This window comes from Homo sapiens, chromosome 7 (assembly GCF_000001405.40).
Source record: "Homo sapiens chromosome 7, GRCh38.p14 Primary Assembly".
NCBI lineage: Eukaryota > Metazoa > Chordata > Mammalia > Primates > Hominidae > Homo > Homo sapiens.
In genome coordinates, this window is record NC_000007.14 from 76,549,341 (window position 1) to 76,574,224 (window position 24,884).

The window sequence follows — 24,884 nt, forward strand, 5'->3', positions numbered from 1 at the left end:
CGCTTCCTGCGCCTGTTCAGGTCATCGCTTGCTCTGGTTCCCAGGCTTTGGCCTCTAGTGGACGAGAATCACCGAGTCTGCGGGGCTAGACGCTGACCGCCCGGGCCAGCACCTAGGCGGGCGGGAGCTGTGCGGCCCAGGGTTCGCGCGGGCCGGGTAGAGGCTCGAGCCAGGACCCCCGAGCGTGAACCCCGGAGCCGGCGGCGCTGGGGCCAGAGGGGCCGGGCGGGAGGTGATGGCGGAGGCGAAGGGGCGACGGGACCTGGGCCTGGCCCGTGTGTGTCCTCAGAGGCCTGGCGCCGGCCGTCGCTGTACGGTGAGCCCCAGGGAGGCGGATCTGGGCCCCGAGAAGGACACCCACCTGGATTTGCCCCATAGGCCCGGCCCGGGCCCCTCGGGAGCAGAACAGCCTTGGTGAGGTGGACAGGAGGGGACCTCGTGAGCAGACGCGTGCGCCAGCGACAGCAGCCCGCCCCGGCCTCTCAGGAGCCGTGGGGCAGAGGCTGCGGAGCCCCAGGAGGGTAAGTCTTGGGTTTTTGGGCCCGGAGCGAGAAGGGCCTGGGTGAAGTCACCGTGTTTTGGGGACCTTAGAGTGTGGGGCAGAGGGAGGGTCCCGATTGCTTGCTGGAGAGACATGTGTTGGGTTCGAGGGCAGGGTCCGGCTGCACCGAACAGGCGCTGCATGGGAAGATCTGGGAGGACGAGGCTTAGGGAGGCGTGGAGGGTGTCACCACCCTCAGCTGCGGACGTCGTCTCCACTCCCCGCTAACCCCTAACAGTCCTTCCTCCTCCTCTCCGTGCTCCAGATTTCGACCGCCTCTAAATGTCCGTCAGCACTTCTATTCTCTCACTTAAGTGTCTGCTGATCCCCCCCTTAGATCTGCCCTGGGAGAATCGTAGTAATGCAGGAACAGTCTGCAGGGATTCTCTCCTGCTGCCTCAGTTGCTAGGGGAAGAGACTGGGCCTTAGCAGGTGGGTGACTTGACCAGGTCACCGGCTTTGTGGGTAGAGCTGCTCATAGTAGAACCCAGGAGACTTATCTCCCAGGCCAGTGTTATTTCTCCCGTATCCTAGTTTTCTTAATAGAAGATTATTAGGTGCCACAATAACTAAGTTCAGTTAGATAATTTAGAAACAAAACCATATTTTATACACATTCATTTCATTTCTGAGAGCTCACCTACTCAATTCCTATGGCCTATTTTATTTTAGGCAGTTTAAAGAGACAATAAGAAAATGCGGGCGGGATGCAGTGGCTCACACCTGTAATCCGAGCACTTTGCGGGGCTAGGGCAAGAGTATCCCTTGAGACCAGGAGTTAGAGACCAGCCTAGACAACATGGGGACACCCTGACTACAAAAAATACAAAAGTCGCCAGGCATGCTGGGATGCATCTGTGGTCCCAGCTACTCAGGAGGCTGAAGTGGGAGGATGGATGGAGCCCAGGAGGTCGAGGCTGCAGAGAGCCGTGAATGCACCACTGCACTCCAGCCTGGGTGGCAGATTGAGACCCTGTCTCAACCAACAAACCACAAAAAACATGAGCCGTATAATGGGAATTTTTTTTCTTTTTGCACCTTGTATTTGATGATGGCAGACTATTTGTAAAAGGAGTCGTGTTACCCATGAGAGTCTAACTCATCTAATTACTACCTGATTATCTTAGAGTTACAGGCGCATGCTTCCCCTATCACTTTTTTTTTTTTTTTTTTTTTGAGACAGTGTCTCTCACCCAGTCTGGAATGCAACAGCGTGGTCTCGGCTCACTGCAACTTCCACCTCCCAGGTTCAAAGGATTCTCGTGCCTCAGCCTCCTGAGTAGCTGGGACTACAGGCATGTGACACTATGCCTGGCTAATTTTTTTTGTTATTTTTAAGTAGAGACGGGGTTTTGCCATGTTGGCCCAGGCAGGCGGATCACTTGAGGCCAGAATTTGAGACCAGCCTGGCCAACATGGCGAAACCCTGTATCACTCTTTTAGACCCTTCTGAGTGTTTGCAGGTTGAGTGTTCACAGGGTGTTAGCCTATTGAGCTTTCTTTTGCGGTTCTTATGCAGGTGATTTCTGCCTTTGCAGGCCGGAGCCCTCATGACTTCAGTGACCTGCTTCTGCCCCTCTAGGTCTATCAGCCACAGTCTCTGCAAGTTTCCAAGAGCAGCAGAAAATGAACACATTGCAGGTGAGTTTTCCTGCTTGTGTATATGTTCCTCAATTTTATTTTATGATGCATTTTAAGAGGTTTGTAAGGATTCATACTTTTTTTTTTCTTTTTTTTGAGATGGAGTCTTGCTCTGTTGCCCAGGCTGCAGTGCAGTGGCATGATCTCGCTTCACTGCAACCTCCACCTCCTGGGTTCAAGTGATTCTCCTGCCTCAGCCTCCTGAGTAGCAGGGATTACAGGCGTGCGCCACCATGCCCAGCTAATTTTTTGTATTTTTAGAAGAGATGGGGTTTCACTATGTTGGCCAGGCTGGTCTCAAACTCCTGACCTCAGGTGATCTTCCCACCTCAGCCTCCCAAAGTGCTGGGATTACAGGCATGAGCCACCAAGCCCAGCCAGGATTCATACTTTAAAATGGGAATGTGGAAATAGACATTATCCTGTAAAATATAGTTAGTGTGGCAGATCAGCACCAAAAATGATTTGTGAAGCTTGTATGTATGGGTAGTATATTTTAAGGCTGTTGAAATTGAGCCGCACCTAGGACTGATATTCTTGGCAGTCATCACAAAAGGAAAGTGCCATCTGTATTAGTCCATTCTCACACTGCTATAGAGAAATAACCAAGACTGGGTAATTTATAAAGTAAAGAGGTTTAATTGGCTCACGTCTGCAGGCTCTATCATAGGAAGCATGGCTGAGGAGGCCTCAGGAAACTTACAGTCAGGTGAAAGGTGAAGGGAAAGCGGGCGCATCTTCCATCACCAGAGCAGGAGGAAGAGGGAACACTGGGGATTACAATTGAACATGAGATTTGGGAGGCAACACACACCGAAACCATATCACCATCCATGACATCGTTTGCATTGATTATAAGGAGAAACCAGTTTTGTTACTTGTGGATTTAAAAGATTTTCTGGGACTTGGAAAAATTTCTTCATTCAAGTTGGTGTAATTGTGGATAGCTTTCCTAACAACAACCATTAATTACTGTAACTTATGGCTTATTCTTGGTGCTTATGTAAGCAGAGGGCCTGCTGCCCAAGGAGAACTTGGTGCATATAATTTTTCCAGGGACGGAAATATCGTGATCCAAGTAAACAATTCTGTTTTTACTGTTGAGTCCTAGATCATGGGGGGAATGAATGACGTGATCATCCGTCAAATATTTGTTCGTCTTTTTGTTCGGGTTGCACAGCAAACAATACAGACAGTTACTCTCTTGTGAAGATTTCCTCATTTCTGTTTCTCATTTCACTTCTCAGTGTTTTCGTTTTGTCCTCAATAAATTAGGTATTGATGGGACGTATTTCAAAATAATAAGAGCTATCTATGACAAACCCACAGCCAATATCATACTGAATGGGCAAAAACTGGAAGCATTCCCTTTGAAAACTGGCACAAGACAGGGATGCCCTCTCTCACCACTCCTATTCAACATAGTGTTGGAAGTTCTGGCCAGGGCAATTAGGCAGGAGAAGGAAATAAAGGGTATTCAATTAGGAAAAGAGGAAGTCAAATTGAAATTTAACTCATCTTTCTTATGTGACTCTAAAGGTCAAACCATACCACCTGAATATTTTTATCCTCTCTGAATATTTCCATTAAAGAGTTTATTTAAAAGAATTTTTAAATCTTCTCATTATGTCTTAACAGCATGATATCATACTCTACTTTTTGACTTCTCCATTTGATATGGAATAAAATTGCATCATATGGCCAAGGCATATACACTTAAAGTCTTCAATTTAGAAGCTTTCCAGAGTCAAACTGAGTCAATCTCTGCTTTAGAAGTCTCCCACAAAAAGGATCCTACATAAATTACTGTGTGTTTAAAGGTTTCTGATTTTAATCTAATAACTGAAATATCAAACTATATTTTAATTCAGGCATTTGGGCATCACTACCACGTGTTCTCATCAGATTTAGGAACCCTGCAGCAAGATTTATCAGTGTCAAAATGCTAAAATCCTAAATTTAGTGCCAGAATCCCTCTCAAATGGCATTTATATTTTGATAGCTTAACCTACTTTGAATCCCCTGAGCATCTTGTCTGTTTTTATTAGTAGATTTTGCTGATCTTTTTTAACTTTTCAAAGGCTCTTTAAATTATCCTAAAGTCATATATTTACCATGAGAAAGCAGGTGTCTTTTTAGAGTGTAGATGCTTAAGTCGCTCATAAAATTAATTTCCTCGGGTTAGGAGAACATTTTGAAACTCTAATTTGAAAAACTCTAATCTGGCTTCTAAAAACACTGTATCAGTATTCAGAAATAATAAAAATGGAAACATAACAACATAATAAATTTAATTTAACCTAGCATAGCAAAAGAGTAGGGCATTTTTGCATAATCAGCTAGATAGTTTTCAGAGGCAAACACAGAGCAGTGGAGACTTTGTTTGGAGACAGCCATTGTTTCAAGAAATGGGTGTTGCCTTGATGAAGCTACCCTTGCTTGTCACTGCAGATCCGTCTCCTGCTATCACCAGCTCTGTGTAACATTGCCTATGCTGTGGACACACAGAGATACTTGACAGTCAGTGGATGAACTCAATAAATGTTATTATTTTTAAATACACAGCTTACTAAACAGATAAATAATCTTAAAATTGAGACTGTTCCAGAAACCAGAATGCATTTTCTTCATACTCATAGCTTTTGTGGTTTACATACATTTATATAATTAGAATGCAATAAAATACATTAAACAGTAAAATAATACTCTATATAATTTAATCTCTGGGGATCCAGAAGGCACTTTAAGCTATTACAGTTTCTCAGAGTCAATGTTATGTACTTTATAATTTTTTATTCTACTGGTAAAACATGGTGATATTGATTAACAGATATTTTAGTAGATATAATATTTTATAAACTGATTTTATTATGTCTTGTTAATATTGGGATAATCAGAATATAGAGAGACTTCTATACATACACATATATTCTATATCTTCATAGCTAGACTTGAAGTATCTCACTTTGATGTTTCTAAAAATAAAGTGAGCACTTTTGTTCTTTTTAATATTTTATTTATTTATGTATTTATTTATTTATTTTTGAGACGCAGTCTTGCTCTGTCAACCAGGCTGGAATGCAGTGGTGCGATCTCGGCTCACTGCAAACTCTGCCTTCCTGGTTCAAGCGATTCTCCTGCCTCAGCCTCCTGAGTAGCTGGGATTACAGGCTACTACCACCACGCCTGGTTAATTTTATTTTGTGTGTGTATTTTTAGTAGAGACAGGGTTTCACCATGTTGCCCAGTCTGGTCTCGAACTCCTGACCTCAGGTGATCTGCCCACCTTGGCCTCCCAAAGTGCTGGGATTACAGGCATGAGCCACTATGCCCAGCCCACTTTGTCCTTCAATTTCTTCCTTCTTCTTCATTTTGACCCCCAGTTTACATCATTAAGTACATAGTCTCGAAACCTCAAAGTATCAGTGTTATCCTTATTTTTTTTTCTCCTTCTCTGAATTTGCCTGATAGTCAAAACCTGTGCCTACTACCACTTAAAGGTTTTTTTTTTCATCTGTCTGACTAGATTGTCCACTGTCTCACCAAATCTTGCTTTGACTAGTAATAATGGCAGTTGAGAGTACTGCCTATCACTTGACCAGACTAGCTAAATGCTGAACATTCATTATAATATTTAAATCTTTAAACCAACCTTGATTTTTATTTTGATTTATGAGATGACTCTACCAAAGGTTAGATTCTGATTTTGGAGAGCTAGATCATAATAGAGTCAGAATTCTGTTCTTAACTTCTACACTGTACTCCAACAACAGTCAAACTGTTACTTTCTCATTCAGGGTAAAATCCTGACCAAACCCATTACTGAAAACCTTCCTTTTTTATCTCAGCTCCCAGTCTCCACCCCATGTATCTGATACACCTGTGACAATGATCTTTTCTCCATATCTAGAAAATATCACCAACTTACAGTGCCGTGTTATGGTATAGGCTCTTATTTCCACTTCCTTTCATCACAGTTCTATTTATTTCTCAATACACAGTTGAAGATCAGTTGAAATATCAATTTCAGCATAACTTCCCATACTTGGGCATAATTTAATAGCTTACCAGACAGTAGCATATAATGTAGTGACTTGGGAGCCAGACTTCCTGGGTTTGAATACGGGATGAAAATTCACCAGTCTTTTGACCTTGGGAAAGTTACTAAACCTTCCTATACACCAGTTTCCTCATCCGTGAAATGAGGCAAATTATAGCACCTACCTCTTAGGGTTGTTATAAACCTTAAATCAGTTAGTACAAGTAAAGGCCTTAGAACAGCACCTGGCACATTGTAAGAAATGTCTAAAGGTTCATTGCTATCATTTATTCATTTCCACATCTCATTCCTAAAATAAAAGGTGTTATAAAATTGCCAGTATAATTAGAAAAAAAATGGGAAAATGTGTTAAAGAAAAATTATAAACAAAATTGAAGAAAATGTAGAATAATACATATATATCTTAGGAGGAAAGCTCTTAAGCATATAGAAAATTAAGAAACTATGAAACAAGATTAACATAGTTGACTATACACAAACTTTAATTGCTAATACAGGCATACTTTGTTTTATGCTTTGCTTTATTGCACTTCACAGAATTTTTTTAGAAATTGAAGTTTTGTGGCAAGCTTGCATCAAGCAAGTCCATCAGCACCATTTTCCCAAAAGCCTGTGCTCACTTTCTGTCTCTGTGTCATATTTGGTAATTCTCACAGTATTTCAAACTTTTAAATTATTATTATATCTGTTATGGTGTTCTGTGGTCAGTGATTTTCCATGTTACTATGGTAATTGCTTTGAGGCATCACAACTCATGCCCATATAAGATGGCAAACTTAATTGATAAATGTGTATGTTCTGACTACTCCAAAGACTGGCCATTCCCCATCTTCCTTCCCCTCCTCAGGCCACCCTACTGCCTAAGACACAACAATATGGAAACTAGGTCAATTAATAATCCTCCATGGCCCTCTAAATGTTCAAGTGAAAAGACTAATGAAGAAGGCATGTTGAAAGTTGAGATAGGCTAAAAGCTAGGCCTCTTGTGCCAAACATTTAGCAAAGATATGAATGCAGAGAAAAAATTCTTGAAGGAAATTAAAAGTGCTACTCCAATGAACACATCAATGATAAGGAAGCAAAACAGGCTTATTCATGATATGGAGAAAGTTTTAGTGATCCGGATAGAATACCAAGCCAGCCACAACATTCTCCTAAGCCAAAGCCTAATCCAGAGCAAAGCCCTAACTGTCTTCAATTCTGTGAAGGTTGAGAGAGGTGAGGAAGCTTCGGAAGAAAAGTTTGAAGCTAGCAGTGGTTGGCTCATAAGGTTTAAGAAAAGAAGCTGTATCTGTAATATAAAAGTGCAAGGTGAAACAGCAAGTGCTAGTGTAGAAGCAGGAGTGAGTTATCCAGAAGATCTAGCTAAGATAACTGATGAAGATGGCTACATTAAGCAACAGATTTTCAATGTAGACAAAACAACCTATATTGAAAGAAGATATCATCTAGGACTTTCATAGTAAGAGAGAAGTCAATGTCTGGTTTCAAAGCTTCAGAGGACAGGCTGATGTGATTCTTAGGGGCTAATGCAGCTAGTAACTTCTAATTGAAGCCAATACTTATTTGCCATTCCAAAATCCCTATGACCCTTAAGAATTGTGCAAAATCTACTCTGCCTATGCTTTATAAATGGAATGACAAAGCCTAGATGATAGCACGGTATACAAATATTTTAGGCCCAGTGTTAAGACCTACTGCTCAGAAAAAAGATTTCTTTCAAAATATTATTGCACATTGACAATAACTTAATCACCCAAGAGCTCTGACGGAGAGGTACAGGGAGATTAATGTTTTCATGCCTGCTAATAAAACATCAATTGTGCAGCCCATGGATCAAAGAGTAATTTTTACTTTCAAGTCTTATTATTTAAGAAATATATTTCATAATGCTATATTTGCCATAGATAGTGATTTCCCCAATGGATCTGGGCAAGGTACATTGAAAGCCTTCTGGAAAGGGTTTACCATTCTAGAAGTCATTAAGAACATTTGTGATTCATGAGAACAGGTCAAAAATCAACATTAACAGAAATCTGGAAGAAGTTAATTCCAACCCTCATAGATTACTTTGAGGGGTTTTAGATTTCAGTGGAGAAAGTCCCTGCAGATGTTGTGGAAATAGCAGGAGAACTAGAATTAGAAGTAAAGCCTGCCTGGGAGGGGAAGGACACGCACCGGAGCCTGTTAGGGGATGGGAAGTAATAGGAGGGAGAGTATTAGGACCAATACCTAATGCATGCGGGGCTTAAAACCTAGATGACAGGTTAATAGGTGCAGGAAACCATCATGGCACATGTATACTTATGTAAACAATCCCACACTTTCTGCGCATGTATCCAGGAACTTAAAGTAAAATTAAAACAAACAAAAAAAGAAGTAAAGCCTGAAGATGTGACTGAATCACTACAGTCTCATGATAAAACTTTAGCAAATAAGGAGTTGCTTCTTATGGATGAGCAAAGAAATAAGTTTATTGAAATGGAATCTATTCCTGGTGAAGATGCTGTGAACATTATTGAAATGATAACAAAATTCTAGAATATTTGATAAACTTTATCAGCAGCATCAGAATTTGAAAAATTTGACTTGAATTTTGAAAGAGGTTCTACTGTAGGTAAAATGCTATCAAACAGCATCACATGCTATGGAGAAATCTTTCATGAAAGGAAGAGTCAGTAGATGTGGCAGACTTCATTGTTGTCTTATTTTAGAAATTGCCACAGCCACCCCATCCTTCAGCAACCACCACCTTGATCAGTCAGTAGCTATCATTGTCAAGGCAAGGTCCTCCATCAGCAAACAGATTAAGACTGGCTTGAAAGCGAAAGTGATCATTAACATTTCTTAATAAAACATTTTCATTAAGGTATGCATTTTATTTTTTAGAAATAATACTATTACATAATTAATAGACTATAGTATAGCATAAACATAACTTTTATATGCACTGGAAAACCAAAAGAATCATGTGACCTGCTTTATTGTGATATTTGCTCTATTGCAGTGATCTGGATCCAAATTTGCAGCTTCTGCAAGGTATGCCTGTGTAGGGAAAGGCAGCACAAACTAAACTACAATAGAAGCGACAGAGCACAGAGCAAAAGAGTATACTTTTAACATATGTGTTAAATAAATGTTTAATACACACATCAAATACAGAACCTCTAGAAGTCAATATAATTTAAAATGCAAACACATAAAATAATAAGCAAAACTCTAAATATTCAACATAAATGATATAAAAATGTCCTATAAACCTTTAAAAATACTTATTTAAATAACCTGCAATAACTTTGCCCCTTAAATAGGGTAAATTTATATAGATCAGCACTAATTTAATTTTGGCATGTATTTGAAGAAATGATAAATATTACACATTGTTTATGATGGTATAAATTGCAATATTATTAAAAGGATACATGGAATCTATTAAAATTTTTGGAAGTGGATATATCTTTTGATTGATTTGATTGATACAGCAGTTCGTCTTTTGTGTGTCTTATACACACATATACATAATATACACTTAGGCAAACACATTTCAGACATTTGGATTGGGATCCTGGCTGCTGCTTCAACCTCATCTAATTTCCTATTACACCTCCTCTCTCTCCCTTTTTGTACATTTGTCCCTCTCTCTGATTTCCACCATCTGTCTTTCCAGTTTACTTTCTCTAGTTCCAGACAACAAAAATTCTTTAATCCCACTGGGATCTCCAATCAATTGATTCAATCAACTTTTCATTATGCCTCAACCCTTTGATCTTCTAATCTAACTTCTCATAACTCAAGATAAATTCCATGGGAAATCCTTAACAATCACTTCCACATATACATCCTTAACTGCCTGCCTCCCTCTTATTGCTTTTACTTGTTTGGAAAAACCACAACTTGGTTAAATCCAGATCACCATTCTCTATGTCTATAATTCTGCAGCTAAACATAGGTAGAGATCAATACACAACCATCATTTCTCATCTTAAATTCATAACCACAAACCTCATAGAGATCTGTTAATGCTAGTCAGGCAATTACACTGTTTCCCATTCCTTTAATTCCTTCACTATCCTGTTTCAATTTCACACCTTTTTCTGCTTTCTTATATGTAAAACACCTCCTCCCTGTCCTTACTTTCAAGTGATCACTGTACATCTTATTTCATGAAGAATATTCAAATGATTAAAAGAAAACATCACAGATTCCCATCACCACGTCTGCCCCCACACCGTTTACAAACCCACACTCCCTGCTGCCCATCTTGTTGCCCCGGGTGAACTATCTGAACTACTATCTAAAGTCAGTTTCTTCCCACGTGCACTACATTCCAGCAGCTTTTACTTAGCAAAGAACATTTTCCAGCAATTTCCTTATCTCTCCTTAACACCATTTTCTCCCCTTTTCCTACTGGATCATTCTCATCAGCATGTAAACAAGTTATTACTTGTTTCCCAACCTGACCACATTTTTCATCTTCCGTCTCCGTAAATCTGATCTGTGCCCCACTATTTATTTCCTGAATTTCTATGATGGCCTTTTACCTGATCTTCCTGCATGTGTCCTCTCACCCTACACAATCTATTCCCAGCATGGCAGTCAGAAACAACCTTTTAAAACAGAAGCCAGGTCTTGCGCCTCCTATTCTGAAATCCTCACTGGTTTCCCCCCACCCCACCCCTCATGTCACTCAGAGTAAACCCTAACTTCGCATGTGCCTGACAGGGTCTTACATAACCTACCCGCCCCCACAGCCCAGACCTCTCTGATCTTCTGGACCATTGTTGTCCTCATTGATCACTCTGCTCCAGCTACAACTGTCTACGGCTCTCCCTCCACCTTCCCAACTGAAGGCTTTTGTGCTTGTTGTTTCTATCCTGAAAATGAACTTCTATAATGTGGTTAACTTTCCCTTATCTCATTCAAGTATTTGCTCAAGTCTTTTTCAGTAAGACAGGCCCTAATCATCTTATTTAAAACTGGAACCTACACTCCCACTCCCTACACTTCTGCACCCATTTACTTTGCTCTGCTTTTTCTTTTTTCATAGAATGTGTCACATTATAATACTATATAGTTCACTTTTTACTATTTATCATTTTATTACCTATCCCAGTCATTACATTTTGAGATTCAGGAGTACAAAAATCTTTGACTCTTTTGTTCACTGATGAAATCACACACACACAAAAAAACCATAAACTATAACCTATAAAAAACCTATAAACTATAAAATAACCTATAGAAAAACATATGATCACAAAAAAACCTATAACCTATCAGCAAGAAAATTGGCATCAATTAATACTTGCTAAGTGAATTAATGTATTTGTGCAAAATATATATACAGAAGCATGTCTGGTGTATCCTTGTTTTATTTTTTATTTTTTTATTTTTTTCAATTTTAACTATTATTAACGAACATTTATACATTTATATGCTTTTCTATTTTCTACACTATTATAAATAACTGTGATGAATATCTTTGTAAGTCTTTGATGATACATGTGATGATTTCCTTAGGACAGATTCTTAGAAGTGGAATTCCTGGATGCAAGAACATGATTTTTCTTTTTCTTTCTTTCTTTCTTTTTTTTTAATTTTATTTTTATTATTTTTTTATTTTATTATTATTATACTTTAAGTTTTAGGGTACATGTGCACAATGTGCAGGTTTGTTACATATGTATAGATGTGCTATGTTGGTGTGCTGCACCCATTAACTCGTCATTTAGCATTAGGTATATCTCCTAATGCTATCCCTCCCCCCTTCCCCTACCCCACAACAGTCCCCGACGTGTGATGTTCCCCTTCCTGTGTCCATGTGTTCTCATTGTTCAATTCCCATCTATGAGTGAGAACATGTGGTGTTTGGTTTTTTGTCCTTGCAGTAGTTTGCTGAGAATGATGGTTTCCAGTTTCATCCATGTCCCTACAAAGGACATGAACTCATCATTTTTTATGGCTGCATAGTATTCCATGGTGTGTATGTGCCACATTTTCTTAATCCAGTCTATTGTTGTTGGACATTTGGGTTGGTTCCAAGTCTTTGCTATAGTGAATAGTGCCGCAATAAACACCTGTGTATGTGTCTTTATAGCAGCATGATTTATAGTCCTTTGGGTATATACCCAGTAATGGGATGGCTGGGTCAAATGGTATTTCTAGTTCTAGATCGCTGAGGAATCGCCACACTGACTTCTACAATGGTTGAACTAGTTTACAGTCCCACCAACAGTGTAAAAGTGTTCCTATTTCTCCACATCCTCTCCAGCACCTGTTTTTTACTGACTTTTTAATGATCGCCATTCTAACTGGTGTGAGATGGTATCTCATTGTGGTTTTGATTTGCATTTCTCTGATGGCCAGTGATGATGAGCATTTTTTCATGTGTTTTTTGGCTGCATAAATGTCTTCTTTTGAGAAGTGTCTGTTCATGTCCTTCTCCCACTGTTTGATGGGGTGGTTTGTCTTTTTCTTCTAAATTTGTTTGAGTTCATTGTAGATTCTGGATATTAGCCCTTTGTCAGATGAGTAGGTTGTAAAAATTTTCTCCCAGTTTATAGGTTGCCTGTTCACTCTGATGGTAGTTTCTTGTGCTGTGCAGAAGCTCTTTAGTTTAATTAGATCCCATTTGTTGATTTTGGCTTTTGTTACCATTGCTTTTGGTGTTTTAGACATGAAGTCCTTGCCCATGCCTATGTCCTGAATGGTATTGCCTAGGTTACCTTCTAGGGTTTTTATGGTTTTAGGTCTAACATGTAAGTCTTTAATCCGTCTTCAATTGATTTTCGTATAAGGTGTTAGGAAAGGATCCAGTTTCAGCTTTCTACATATGGCTAGCCAGTTTTCCCAGCACCATTTATTAAATAGGGAATCCTTTCCCATTGCTTGTTTTTGTCAGGTTTTTCAAAGATCAGATGGTTGTAGATATGCGGCATTATTTCTGAGGGCTCTGTTCTGTTCCATTGATCAATATCTCTGTTTTGGTACCAGTACCATGCTGTTTTGGTTACTGTAGCCTTGTAGTATAGTTTGAAGTCAGGTAGCGTGATGCCTCCGGCTTTGTTCTTTTGGCTTAGGATTGACTTGGTGATGCGGGCTCTTTTGGCTCCATATGAACTTTAAAGTAGTTTTTTCCAATTCTGTGAAGAAAGTCATAGGTAGCTTGATGGGGATGGCATTGAATCTATAAATTACCTTGGGCAGTATGGCCATTTTCACGATATTAATTCTTCCTACCCATGAGCATGGAATTTTCTTCCATTTGTTTGTATCCTCTTTTATTTCCTTGAGCAGTGGTTTGTAGTTCTCCTTGAAGAGGTCCTTCACATCCCTTGTAAGCTGGATTCCTAGGTATTTTATTCTTTTTGAAGCAATTGTGAATGGGAGTTCACTCATGATTTGACTCTCTGTTTGTCTGTTATTGGTGTATAAGAATGCTTGTGATTTTTGCACATTGATTTTGTATCCTGAGACTTTGCTGAAGTTGCTTATCAGCTTAAGGAGATTTTGGGCTGAGACGATGGGGTCTGCTAGATATACAATCATGTCATCTGCAAACAGGGACAATTTGACTTCCTCTTTTCCTAACTGAATACCCTTTATTTCCTTCTCCTGCCTAATTGCCCTGGCCAGAACTTCCAACACTATGTTGAATAGGAGTGGTGAGAGAGGGCATCCCTGTCTTGTGCCAGTTTTCAAAGGGAATGCTTCCAGTTTTTGCCCATTCAGTATGATATTGGCTGTGGGTTTGTCATAGATAGCTCTTATTATTTTGAGACACGTCCCATCAATACCTAATTTATTGAGAGTTTTTAGCATGAAGGGTTGTTGAATTTTGTCAAAGGCCTTTTCTGCATCTATTGAGAAAATCATGTGGTTTTTGTCTTTGGTTCTGTTTATATGTTAGATTACATTTATTGATTTGCATATGTTGAATCAGCCTTTCATCCCAGGGATGAAGCCCACTTGTTCATGGTGGATAAGCTTTTTGATGTGCTGCTGGATTTGGTTTGCCAGTATTTTATTGAGGATTTTTGCATCAATGTTCATCAAGGATATTGGTCTAAAATTCTCTTTTTTGGTTGTGTCCCTGCCAGGCTTTGGTATCAGGATGATGCTGGCCTCATAAAATGAGTTAGGGAGGATTCCCTCTTTTTCTATTGATTGGAATAGTTTCAGAAGGAATGGTACCATCTCCTCCTTGTACCTCTGGTAGAATTCAGCTGTGAATCCATCTGGTCCTGGACCTTTTTTTGGTTGGTAAGCCATTGATTATTGCCACAATTTCAGAGCCTGTTATTGGTCTATTCAGAGATTCAACTTCTTCCTGGTTTAGTCTTGGGAAGGTGTTTGTGTTGAGGAGTTTATCCATTTCTTCTAGATTTTCTAGTTTATTTGCGTAGAGGTGTTTGTAGTATTCTCTGATGATTGTTTGTATTTCTGTGGGATTGGTGGTGATATCCTCTTTATCATTTTTTATTGCGTCTATTTGATTCTTCTCTCTTTTCTTCATTACTCTTGCTAGCGGTCTATCAGTTTTGTTGATCTTTTAAAAAAACCAGCTCCTAGATTCATTAATTTTTGAAGGGTTTTTTGTGTCTCTATTTCCTTCAGTTCTGCTCTGATTTTAGTTATTTCTTGCCTTCTGCTAGCTTTCGAATGTGTTTGCTCTTGCTTTTCTAGTTCTTTTAATTGTGATGTTAGGGTGTCAATTTTGGATCTTTCCTGCTTTCTCTTGTGGGCATTTAGTGCTATAAATTTCCCTCTACACACTGCTTTGAATGTGTCCCAGAGATTCTGGTATGTTTTGTCTTTGTTCTCGTTGGTTTCAAAGAACATCTTTATTTCTGCCTTCATTTTGTTATGTACCCAGTAGTCACTTAGGAGCAGGTTGTTCAGTTTCCATGTAGTTGAGCAGTTTTGAGTGAGTTTCTTAATCCTGAGTTCTAGTTTGATTGCACTGTGGTCTGAGAGACAGTTTGTTATAATTTCTGTTCTTTTACATTTGCTGAGGAGTGCTTTATTTCCAAATATGTGGTCAATTTTGGAATAGGTGTGGTGTGCTGAAAAAAATGTATATCCTCTTTATTTGGGGTGGAGAGTTCTGTAGATGTTTATTAGGTCCACTTGGTGCAGAGCTGAGTTCAATTCCTGGGTATCCTTGTTGACTTTCAGTCTCGTTGATCTGTCTAATGTTGACAGTGGGGTGTTAAAGTCTCCCATTATTATTTTGTGGGAGTCTAAGTCTCTTTGTAGGTCACTAAGGACTTGCTTTATGAATCTGGGTGCTCCTGTATTGGGTGCATATATATTTAGGATACTTAGCTCTTCTTGTTGAATTGATCCCTTTACCATTATGTAATGGCCTTCTTTGTCTCTTTTGATCTTTGTTGGTTTAAAGTCTGTTTTATCAGAGACTAGGATTGCAACCCCTGCCTTTTTTTGTTGTCCATTTGCTTGGTAGATCTTCCTCCATCCTTTTATTTTGAGCCTATGTGTGTCTCTGCACGTGAGATGGGTTTCCTGAATACAGCACACTGATGGGTCTTGACTCTTTATCCAATTTGCCAGTCTGTATCTTTTAATTGGAGCATTTAGCCCATTTACATTTAAAGTTAATATTGTTATATGTGAATCTGATCCTGTCATTATGATGTTAGCTGGTTATTTTGCTCGTTAGTTGATGCAGTTTCTTCCTAGCCTTGATGGTCTTTACATTTTGGCATGTTTTTGCAGTGGCTGGTATCGTTTGTTCCTTTCCATGTTTAGTGCTTCCTTCAGGAGCTCTTTTAGGGCAGGCCTGGTGGTGACAAAATCTCTCAGCATTTGCTTGTCTGTAAAGTATTTTATTTCTCCTTCACTTATGAAGCTTAGTTTGGCTGGATATGAGATTCTGGGTTGAAAATTCTTTTCTTTAAGGATGTTGAATATTGATCCCCACTCTCTTCTGGCTTGTAGAGTTTCTGCCGAGAGATCCGCTGTTAGTCTGATGGGCTTCCCTTTGTGGGTAACCCGACCTTTCTCTCTGGCTGCCCTTAACATTTTTTCCTTCATTTCAACTTTGGTGAATCTGATAATTACGTGTCTTGGAGTTGCTCTTCTCGAGGAGTATCTTTGTGGTGTTCTCTGTATTTCCTGAATCTGAGTGTTGGCCTGCCTTGCCAGATTGGGAAAGTTCTCCTGGATAATATCCTGCAGAGTGTTTTCCAACTTGGTTCCATTCTCCCCGTCACTTTCAGGTACACCAATCAGATGTAGATTTGGTCTTTTCACATAGTCCCATATTTCTTGGAGGCTTTGTCCGTTTCTTTTTATTCTTATTTCTCTAAACTTCCCTTCTCGCTTCATTTCATTCATTTCGTCTTCCATCGCTGATACCCATTCTTCCAGTTGATCGCATTGGCTCTTGAGGCTTCTGCATTATTCACGTAGTTCTCGAGCCTTGGCTTTTAGCTCCATCAAGTCCTTTAAGGACTTCTCTGCATTGGTTATTCTAGTTATCCATTCATCTAATTTTTTTTCAAAGTTTTTAACTTCTTTGCCATTGGTTTGAATTTCCTCCTGTAGCTTGGAGTAGTTTGATCATCTGAAGCCTTCTTCTCTCAACTCGTCAAAGTCATTCTCCGTCCAGCTTTGTTCCGTTGCTGGTGAGGAGCTGCCTTCCTTGGGAGGAGGAGAGGTGCTCTGCTTTTTAGAGTTTCCAGTTTTTCTGCTCTGTTTTTTCCCCATCTTTGTGGTTTTATCTACTTTTGTTCTTTGATGATGGTGACGTACAGATGGGTTTTTGGTGTGGATGTCCTTTCTGTTTGTTAGTTTTCCTTCTAACAGACAGGACCCTCAGCTGCAGGTCTGTTGGAGTTTGCTAGAGGTCACTCCAGACCCTGTTTGCCTGGGTATCAGCAGTGGTGACTGCAGAACAGCAGTGGCTGTAGAACAGCGGACATTGGTGATCCGCAAATGCTGCTGCCTGATCGTTCCTCTGGAGGTTTTGTCTCAGAGGAGTACCCGGCCATGTGAGGTGTCAGTCTGCCCCTACTGGGGGGTGCTTCCCATTTAGGCTGCTCGGGGGTCAGGGACCCACTTGAGGAGGCAGTCTGCCCGTTCTCAGATCTCCAGCTGCGTGCTGGGAGAAACACTACTCTCTTCAAAGCTGTCAGACAGGGACATTTAAGTCTGCAGAGGTTACTGCTGTCTTTTTGTTCGTCTGTGCCCTGCCCCCAGAGGTGGAGCCTACAAAGGCAGGCAGGCCTCCTTGAGCTGTGGTGGGCTCCACCCAGTTTGAGCTTCCCAGCTGCTTTGTTTACCTAATCAAGCCTGGGCAATGGCGGGCGCCCCTCCCCCAGCCTTGCTGCCCCCTTGCAGTTTGATCTCAGACTGCTGTGCTAGCAATCAGCGAGACTCCGTGGGTGTAGGACCCTCTGAGCCAGATGTGGGATATAATCTCCTGGTGTGCTGTTTTTTAAGCCCATTGGAAAAGGGCAGTATTAGGGTGGGAGTGACCCGATTTTCCAGTTGCCGTCTGTCACCCCTTTCTTTGACTAGGAAAGGGAACTCCCTGACCCCTTGTGCTTCCCGAATGAGGCAATGCCTTGCCCTGCTTCAGCTCACGCACGGTGCACTGCACCCACTGTCCTGCACCCACTGTCTGGCATTCCCTAGTGAGATGAACCCGGTACCTCAGATGGAAATGCAGAAATCACCCATCTTCTGTGTCGCTCATGCTGGGAGCTGTAGACCGGAGCTGCTCCTATTCGGCCATCTTGGCTCCACCGTATCCTTGTTTTAATAGAAGAAAACTGTATAATATCAATATTGGAATGGTTAAATACTGTTTTACTCATTATATTGATATTATACATTCATTAGAAGATGACTTAATTAGCCAGGTGTGGTGGTGCATGACTGTAGTCTCAGCTACTCGGGTGGCTGAGGTGGGAAGATGGCTTGAGGCAAGGAGTTCAAGACCAGCCTGGACAACATAGCAAGACCCCATCCATAAAAAAAATTCCCAGACTGACAAAGAAACTTAAAAAATAAAACATAGACTAGGATCTCATTAACAAATTAACATTATATATATATAACAGATGTGAAATAAACTACCAGAAAGATTCTCTTCTACATCATATGTCACCAGGGAAATGTGAGTTAAAACAATGAGATACCACTACCTACCAATTAGAGTGGTCAAAATCCAGAACATGCTGTGGAAAATGTGGAGCACCAAGAAATTTTATCCATTGCTCATGGGGATGCAAAATGGTACAGCCACTTACCAAACTAAGCATACTTTGACCATACTCTCCAGCAATCACACTCTTTGGTGTTTACCCTAATAAACTGAAAATTTATGTCCACATAAAAACTGGCACATAAACATTTATAGCAGGTTTATTCATACTTGCCAAAACATAGAACAACCAAGATGTCCTTCAGTAGGTGAATGGATAAACTTGGTACATCAGGACAGTGAAATATTATTCAGTGCTTAAAAAAGAAAGAAAGAAGCCATCAAGCCATGGAAACATCTAGAGGAAACTTAAATGCACATTACTAAGTAAAAGAAGCCAATCTGAAAGGATATATACTATGTGACTACAACTATTAGACATGCTGGAAAAGACAAAAGATGGAGACAGTAAAATAATTGATTGGTAGTTGCCAGGGTTAGGGGGAGAGAGGGATCAATAGGCAGAGCACAAAGGATATTTGTGGAGGTGAAACTACTCTGTGATATTACAGTGGTGGTACATGTCATTATACATGTGTCCAAACCTACAGAATGTACATCACCAAGAGTGAACCCCAGCGTAAAGTAGGAAATGTGGGTAATGATGATGTCTCAATATAGGTTTATCAACTGTAACAAAAGTATCACTCTGGTGAGGACTGTTGATAATGGGGGAGGCTGAGCATGTGGGGCAGCAGGGGCTACAAGGGAACTCTTGGTATTTTCTGTTCAATTTTCCTATAAAACTAAAACTTCTCTAAAAAATAAAGTCTATTCAAAATTATATATATAATATATTTTTCTCTTTATAAACAGACACTGTAAGAAACATCAAAACTATTTGTAATAGCGCATACGGTTAGGCAGGAGAGGTTTGACAAAGTAGAGAAGGGTAAAAGTGGAATTTTTAATTGATTTTAAATTGTTTGAATTCTTAAAATGATATTCATTTATAGTGTTGATACATTTCAAAAATAAGAAAATTAGGGCAAAGGAAAAATAAAATAGAAAAAGTACAATGAAATCAAGAGTAACATTAATACACAAGACATGCATATAGAATTCTCTACATTTTCTAACTGTGAGTCATAAAATGGACTCTGATCTTTTCTGCCAACAATGACCAGTTAAATCATGGTGTTAACATGATAGAAAACAAACAAATTATTCAGGAGGTACACATTATTCCTGGCATGAGTACCTAAATAAAAAAATCTATTCTGTGTCTCTATTGAGTGATGTTTGAGCAGCAACTTTAATGCTATCTTTATAGCAACTCAATGCATTTCATTGAGGTTTTTCTTTGTAAATGTTCATGTAGACTGCCAAAGTGCAGCTTGATAATACCTGTCTTGTAGGTCTTGAAGTTTTCTAGGTAGGAACTGGCAATGGGCCACAAAACAATGTGATCATAAAACATGGCTCTGCTATGGTCTTGTTTATTCCAAAAGCCATATTTAGAGTGTCCTAAACTAAGCTACTATTTTTTATTCTGCAAAAGTAGATTCTTTCGTCAAATATTTCAGAAAATTTATATCAAGCCAAGTTAGATGTGTTTCTTTGCCTTTGGGACTTCTTAGAGCCTTTAATATGCAAATATGCATTGTAAATCTTTAAGAGTGAGACAGAAAATATTGTGTTTGTCAAGCAAAATTAAGTCTGGGAGCCTATTTTTGAATGAGTGTCTCCAGGGCTTTGATTCCATAGAGCACACGTCTGGTAAGCAGTATGGCCAGATGGCTCCTCCTTTTAGGTGAGTCTCTACAAATAGGGTTTTGTTATTGTGGCTCTTTTCTTTCAGTGAGGAATTGATAGGCCTTCTCGTGATCCCAGATTTTATTTGTAGGTCTATTATTGTATTTCCTATTTTTGCTGAATTTGATTTTTCTTTACCAATTTCTCTACCACTTTGGAAATGCATCAAGAACAGTTTTTGTTACCTCAGTACCTAATAATGCCAGTGCCTAGCTCAGTATTTATTAACTATTTTTGAAAGAAAAACTAAACATAGCATTTTCACAGGAAGATTATAAATCCATGGAGCATTACAGATAGTTCTAAGGTATTTTAAATATTCCAAGGCTATGCGGAAAGTTAAATGACATCTTTGTTGCTGAAATTATACCATCCCAACATGTTAATAATCATGCTGATCAGTAACTGTGGTTTGGTAGTTGTAGATGTCTTTATAGTAGTTGGAAAACAAATTAATAGACATAGTTTGTTTAATAATTTTTTTCAAATTTGTAGTTAGAAAAAATGAAAATACTTCTGATTGTGAAAAAAATGTTGAAAAATGTATTCAGCTCCTTTACAGAGAGGAAAACTAAGGCTAATGTGGTAAAAGAGACTTGCCTAATATCACACAAACCCTTTAGAGCACAGTAAGTATTAAAACTCATACTTAATCACTTCCATGCAGTAGGTTTTCTCTTTTCTAGACTCTCCCTTTTGCAAGTTTAATGGTAACATTTCTCTTTCTCCTTGTCTTATCTCCTTTCTTTTATTTACATAGCATGTGACATTCTCTTGCATGTTTCAGGTATTTTTGCCATCTCAGGACTGAGAGGCCCTGGCAAACTGGCAGTTGGGTAAGCTGCATTTCCCCTCCTTAATTGATGGGAAGCACTGCCTTTGACAGAGCTGATTCACAGTGATGGGGCTGACTGGCTGAAAACTGGTAGGAGGACTTTGCAACAGCTCTGGGCCAAACCGAGTCCACAGGCCATATGTCTGCCTCCTCCGTCATAAACAGACGACCAAGTGTGCACACTCCCAAGTGTAATGTCACTGGGACCTTATTTGCAAACATATAAACGAATGACATTCAATTATGTTCAGAGGCAATGTTGTCAAAACCACCAAGGAAGCAATTTACTGCTCTTGCACAGTATGTGACTCACAGTGCATTAGCAAGTTTTCATTGCTTAGTTTGTTCAATATGTTTCTGAAGCAGTTCTTTTGCAGCCTGTTGTGTAACCATGATACACACACTTATATAGCATACATAGATAGGATTAAATTAAGGGTTGTTACAGAATTATGTCAAGTGAAAAAAATGTATAATAAAATCGGCTAATTTCTTTGTAGACATTGGCCAATTAAAGGGAGAAAAGCACAGTTTCTACAACTAGTGGAGTAAAGTTATTAGTTGATACCAATGGATATTAGCAGAAAATTGATGAAAGGTTTTAAATTTTTGGCTCTATGGGATTCCATTTTTGCTAAATGATATAATATTCTCATGGTAGGAAAAAAGTTCTCTGATTTACATAAAATGCGGGTATAGCAAAAGCAATGGTATTTTAACTTAACAACAGCCCTCAAAACACCCTTATAATGTTCTTGGAACAAATGCTGTAAAAGCTGAAAGGGTTCATTCCTAGGTGTTCCTATTGGCACTATTACTAGTGCTAATAGAAAGCACCCAGAAAACTGAATCAGGGAGATAAACTATACCTTCACACAATACATAACAACAGTAATAATCATAGTACTTTGCATTGGCATTATGTTTTACAGTGTACATAAACATGAAGTATGCCCTTGAACTTGAGTATATTACATAAAACACAGATGGAGTGGGCAGCTTCAAAGGAAGTATCATCATTATTTATCATTTTTGTCTTTCTCATTTCCAAGGTTAGAAAACTGAGATTTAGCGAAGTTATATGACTTATCCAAGGCTATATCTCAATACTATTGGAATCAAAAGTAGATGTGGCTGAGTCTTCTGAATTCTAGGGCAAAGTGTTTTCTCAAGTAATACTGTCTCAACTGTCAAGAGTACAGTTCTACCTTATAACTGAAACTATCGTAGGTATCAGAAGAGGGACTATATCAGGAGGGCAGGCGGAGGAGCTCCATCATGATGGTCCTAAACCTTGAAAGATGGGTAATGCTTAACTAATACAAGAAAAAAATGAAAGAAATTCTGAGCAAGGCAACACCTTGGATAACGATTAGAAAATTAACATTTGTTGACTGATTTAATAAGTATTAAGCACTCATAAGCACCAGCTAGTGTTCTAGGTACTGCGATTTGGCATTGAGCAAGAGACACCATCTTAGTCTTACAGAATCTATGCTATAAGTGGAATATGGACCCTTAGAAATGAATAACAAAATTTAAAAATTATTTTACCTTCTGTTAAGAAAATAGAGTAAATGGGTTGAAAGTGGTAGAGGGAAGGAGTATTTCAGGCCAAGTCGTCAGAGAAGGCCGCTCTTAAAGATGACCTTGGAGGAGACACCTGAATGATAAGGAATGTTATCATGCAAATGTCCACGGAAGCATTTTCTGGTGGATGAGACCAGTGATGCAACCTGGGAACAAATTTCTTTCTAAGTGTGATAAGAAGACTTTAAGAGGTTCTATGTACTTTTTGAAAAGATCATTATTCCTGCTTTCTTTCATAAGTCCAAAAGAGGTCATGAATGGAAACAGGAAGAGCAGGATTTTTTGGTAGTTCATGATATGTAGGAGAGGTTTACTCAGAGGGAGAAAGGGTGAAGTGAGAGATCAAAGCAAAATCCTAAATTTTTGGCTTGAGTACTTGAACAGATGAGATAAAGAAGGGTATGAACATAAGTAGGTTGTGATGCTGGCCCTAGTTACTAAAAGGGTGTGTATGTTTATGAAGTAGAAAACAACAGCTGGCTCCATCAGGGCTGTGAGTTTAATGCAGTTGGACTCCTCAGACTGGGCCGTGATGAGGCACGGTATAGAACTGAGAAGAAGGGGATCTGCAACTCAGCCACACCTTCTAAACCAACACCCCAATCTCATTTTCATTGTCTGTAAAATGAGGGGTTAGGTCACGTTGACAAAATTTAGCTAATTTTAGGCTCTGAACTCCTTTTAAGAATCTAATCATTACTAACGATTCTCCAGAAAACGAAATTGAACATATGTTTAAAATTCCCAGGCAACACAGAGACTTAAGAACTTCTTGGCTTGAATATTATCAAGGATTACTCCAGTTCGAAGTGTTTGATTCTATACAATACCAAAATAAGTCCCAAATTATAGTGATCTAACAAAACCATATGTGACCATTGCAGTGTGGCAGAGAGTTTTGCTGCAAGTTTGCCCACGTATGTGAACTGATGAAGACCTTCATCTTGTAGCTGCAACATCAGGAATATTCAGCCTCTTTCTTCATTGCATAGTGAGAGAGAGAACCAAAAACCACATAGGGAGTTTTCACTGCCTCTGACTGGAAGTGGCATGCATTCCTTTGAATTTTATATTATTGGCCAGATCTTATCACCTGGCACTTGGCCCCTAACTGCAAATGGGATAGAAAATAGAAAAGAGTATATTTGGTAAACATTATATATTCTCTTTCACATAAGCTTTCTCCTTACACAGATATTTTCATAGCTCAACCAGAAACTTTTGGTTAAATAAGCATAGACTTGTCTAAATAATGGAATACTATGAAGCTGTCATAGGTTTGTAAAGATTGCTAAGGCATAAAAGTCTATTTAAAAAAAGTACAAAGTAGTGTGGATAGTCTGCTGCCACTCATGTAAGAAAGAAGGAAAATGAGAATTTATGTTTGTATTTGTTTGCATTTGGATAGAAAATCTCCAGAGGATAAGCTTAAAAGTGAGTAGTGATGGTGATGGGCCTCTTGGATGGGAAAGATGAGAGAGTGAGAGCAAAACTTTTCATAGTATATGGTCTCATATTATTTTGATTTTTATATGAACATTCTCAGTAATGGAGGGCATCAAAATATCAGTGGCTAATTCCAAAGCTCCTGCTATTACAGAATGACAGCATCCGATGGAGGAGGATGTTCATGTATCACCAAACAGCTCAAGCATGGCTTCATTGCAGTGTAACATGCATCATGTCATGTGTTATTGCTTACTTAACAAACCTCACTCTATCCCACGGATTAATCAAGATAAAGTAGCTAAATATTGCCTGTCTACAGATGAGGTTTCCATTTGTCAAAAGGAGATATAAAACTAAGTAAGGAATTGGTAGATTTTCTCTTCATCCACTCTCAGTGCTAATATAAGAACTTAAAGGGGATTTTTTGGCCGTAATTCAATATGACATTAATGTTAGAAAATTATTCACCTAAATGAACAAAAAGTTTTCCAAAGTAAAAAAATTATCTTGATAATGTAAATTTATATGCTATTCAAACTTGAAATGCATGAAACAATTTTTATGGTAGTATACTTTATTATGAATCGTTTATAATTTTTGAAGCAAAAACAATGTGAAATCATAGTAAATAGTATAAGATTTGGAACTAGACAGATATAAATTCAAATCCTACCTCTACTAATTGTGTTCCTATGGGCTTCTTGCTTAATCTTTTGGAGTTTCCATTTCTCCATCTGTAAAGTGAGGATAACAAAATACTTCATGTAGTTGTGAAAACTGA

At 39.1% G+C, this 24,884-nt stretch overlaps 1 long non-coding RNA gene across 1 annotated transcript in view; it reads left to right on the forward strand.

Annotated features, from left to right (window-relative positions):
• The window catches only part of LINC03009 (long intergenic non-protein coding RNA 3009), a 78,642-nt gene continuing 53,758 nt past the window's right edge, over positions 1–24,884 (forward strand). The window contains exons 1-2 of the long non-coding RNA NR_029411.1: positions 1–521; positions 2,080–2,182. This is a non-coding gene — a long non-coding RNA (long intergenic non-protein coding RNA 3009). The remainder of the gene's footprint in view (positions 522–2,079; positions 2,183–24,884) is intronic.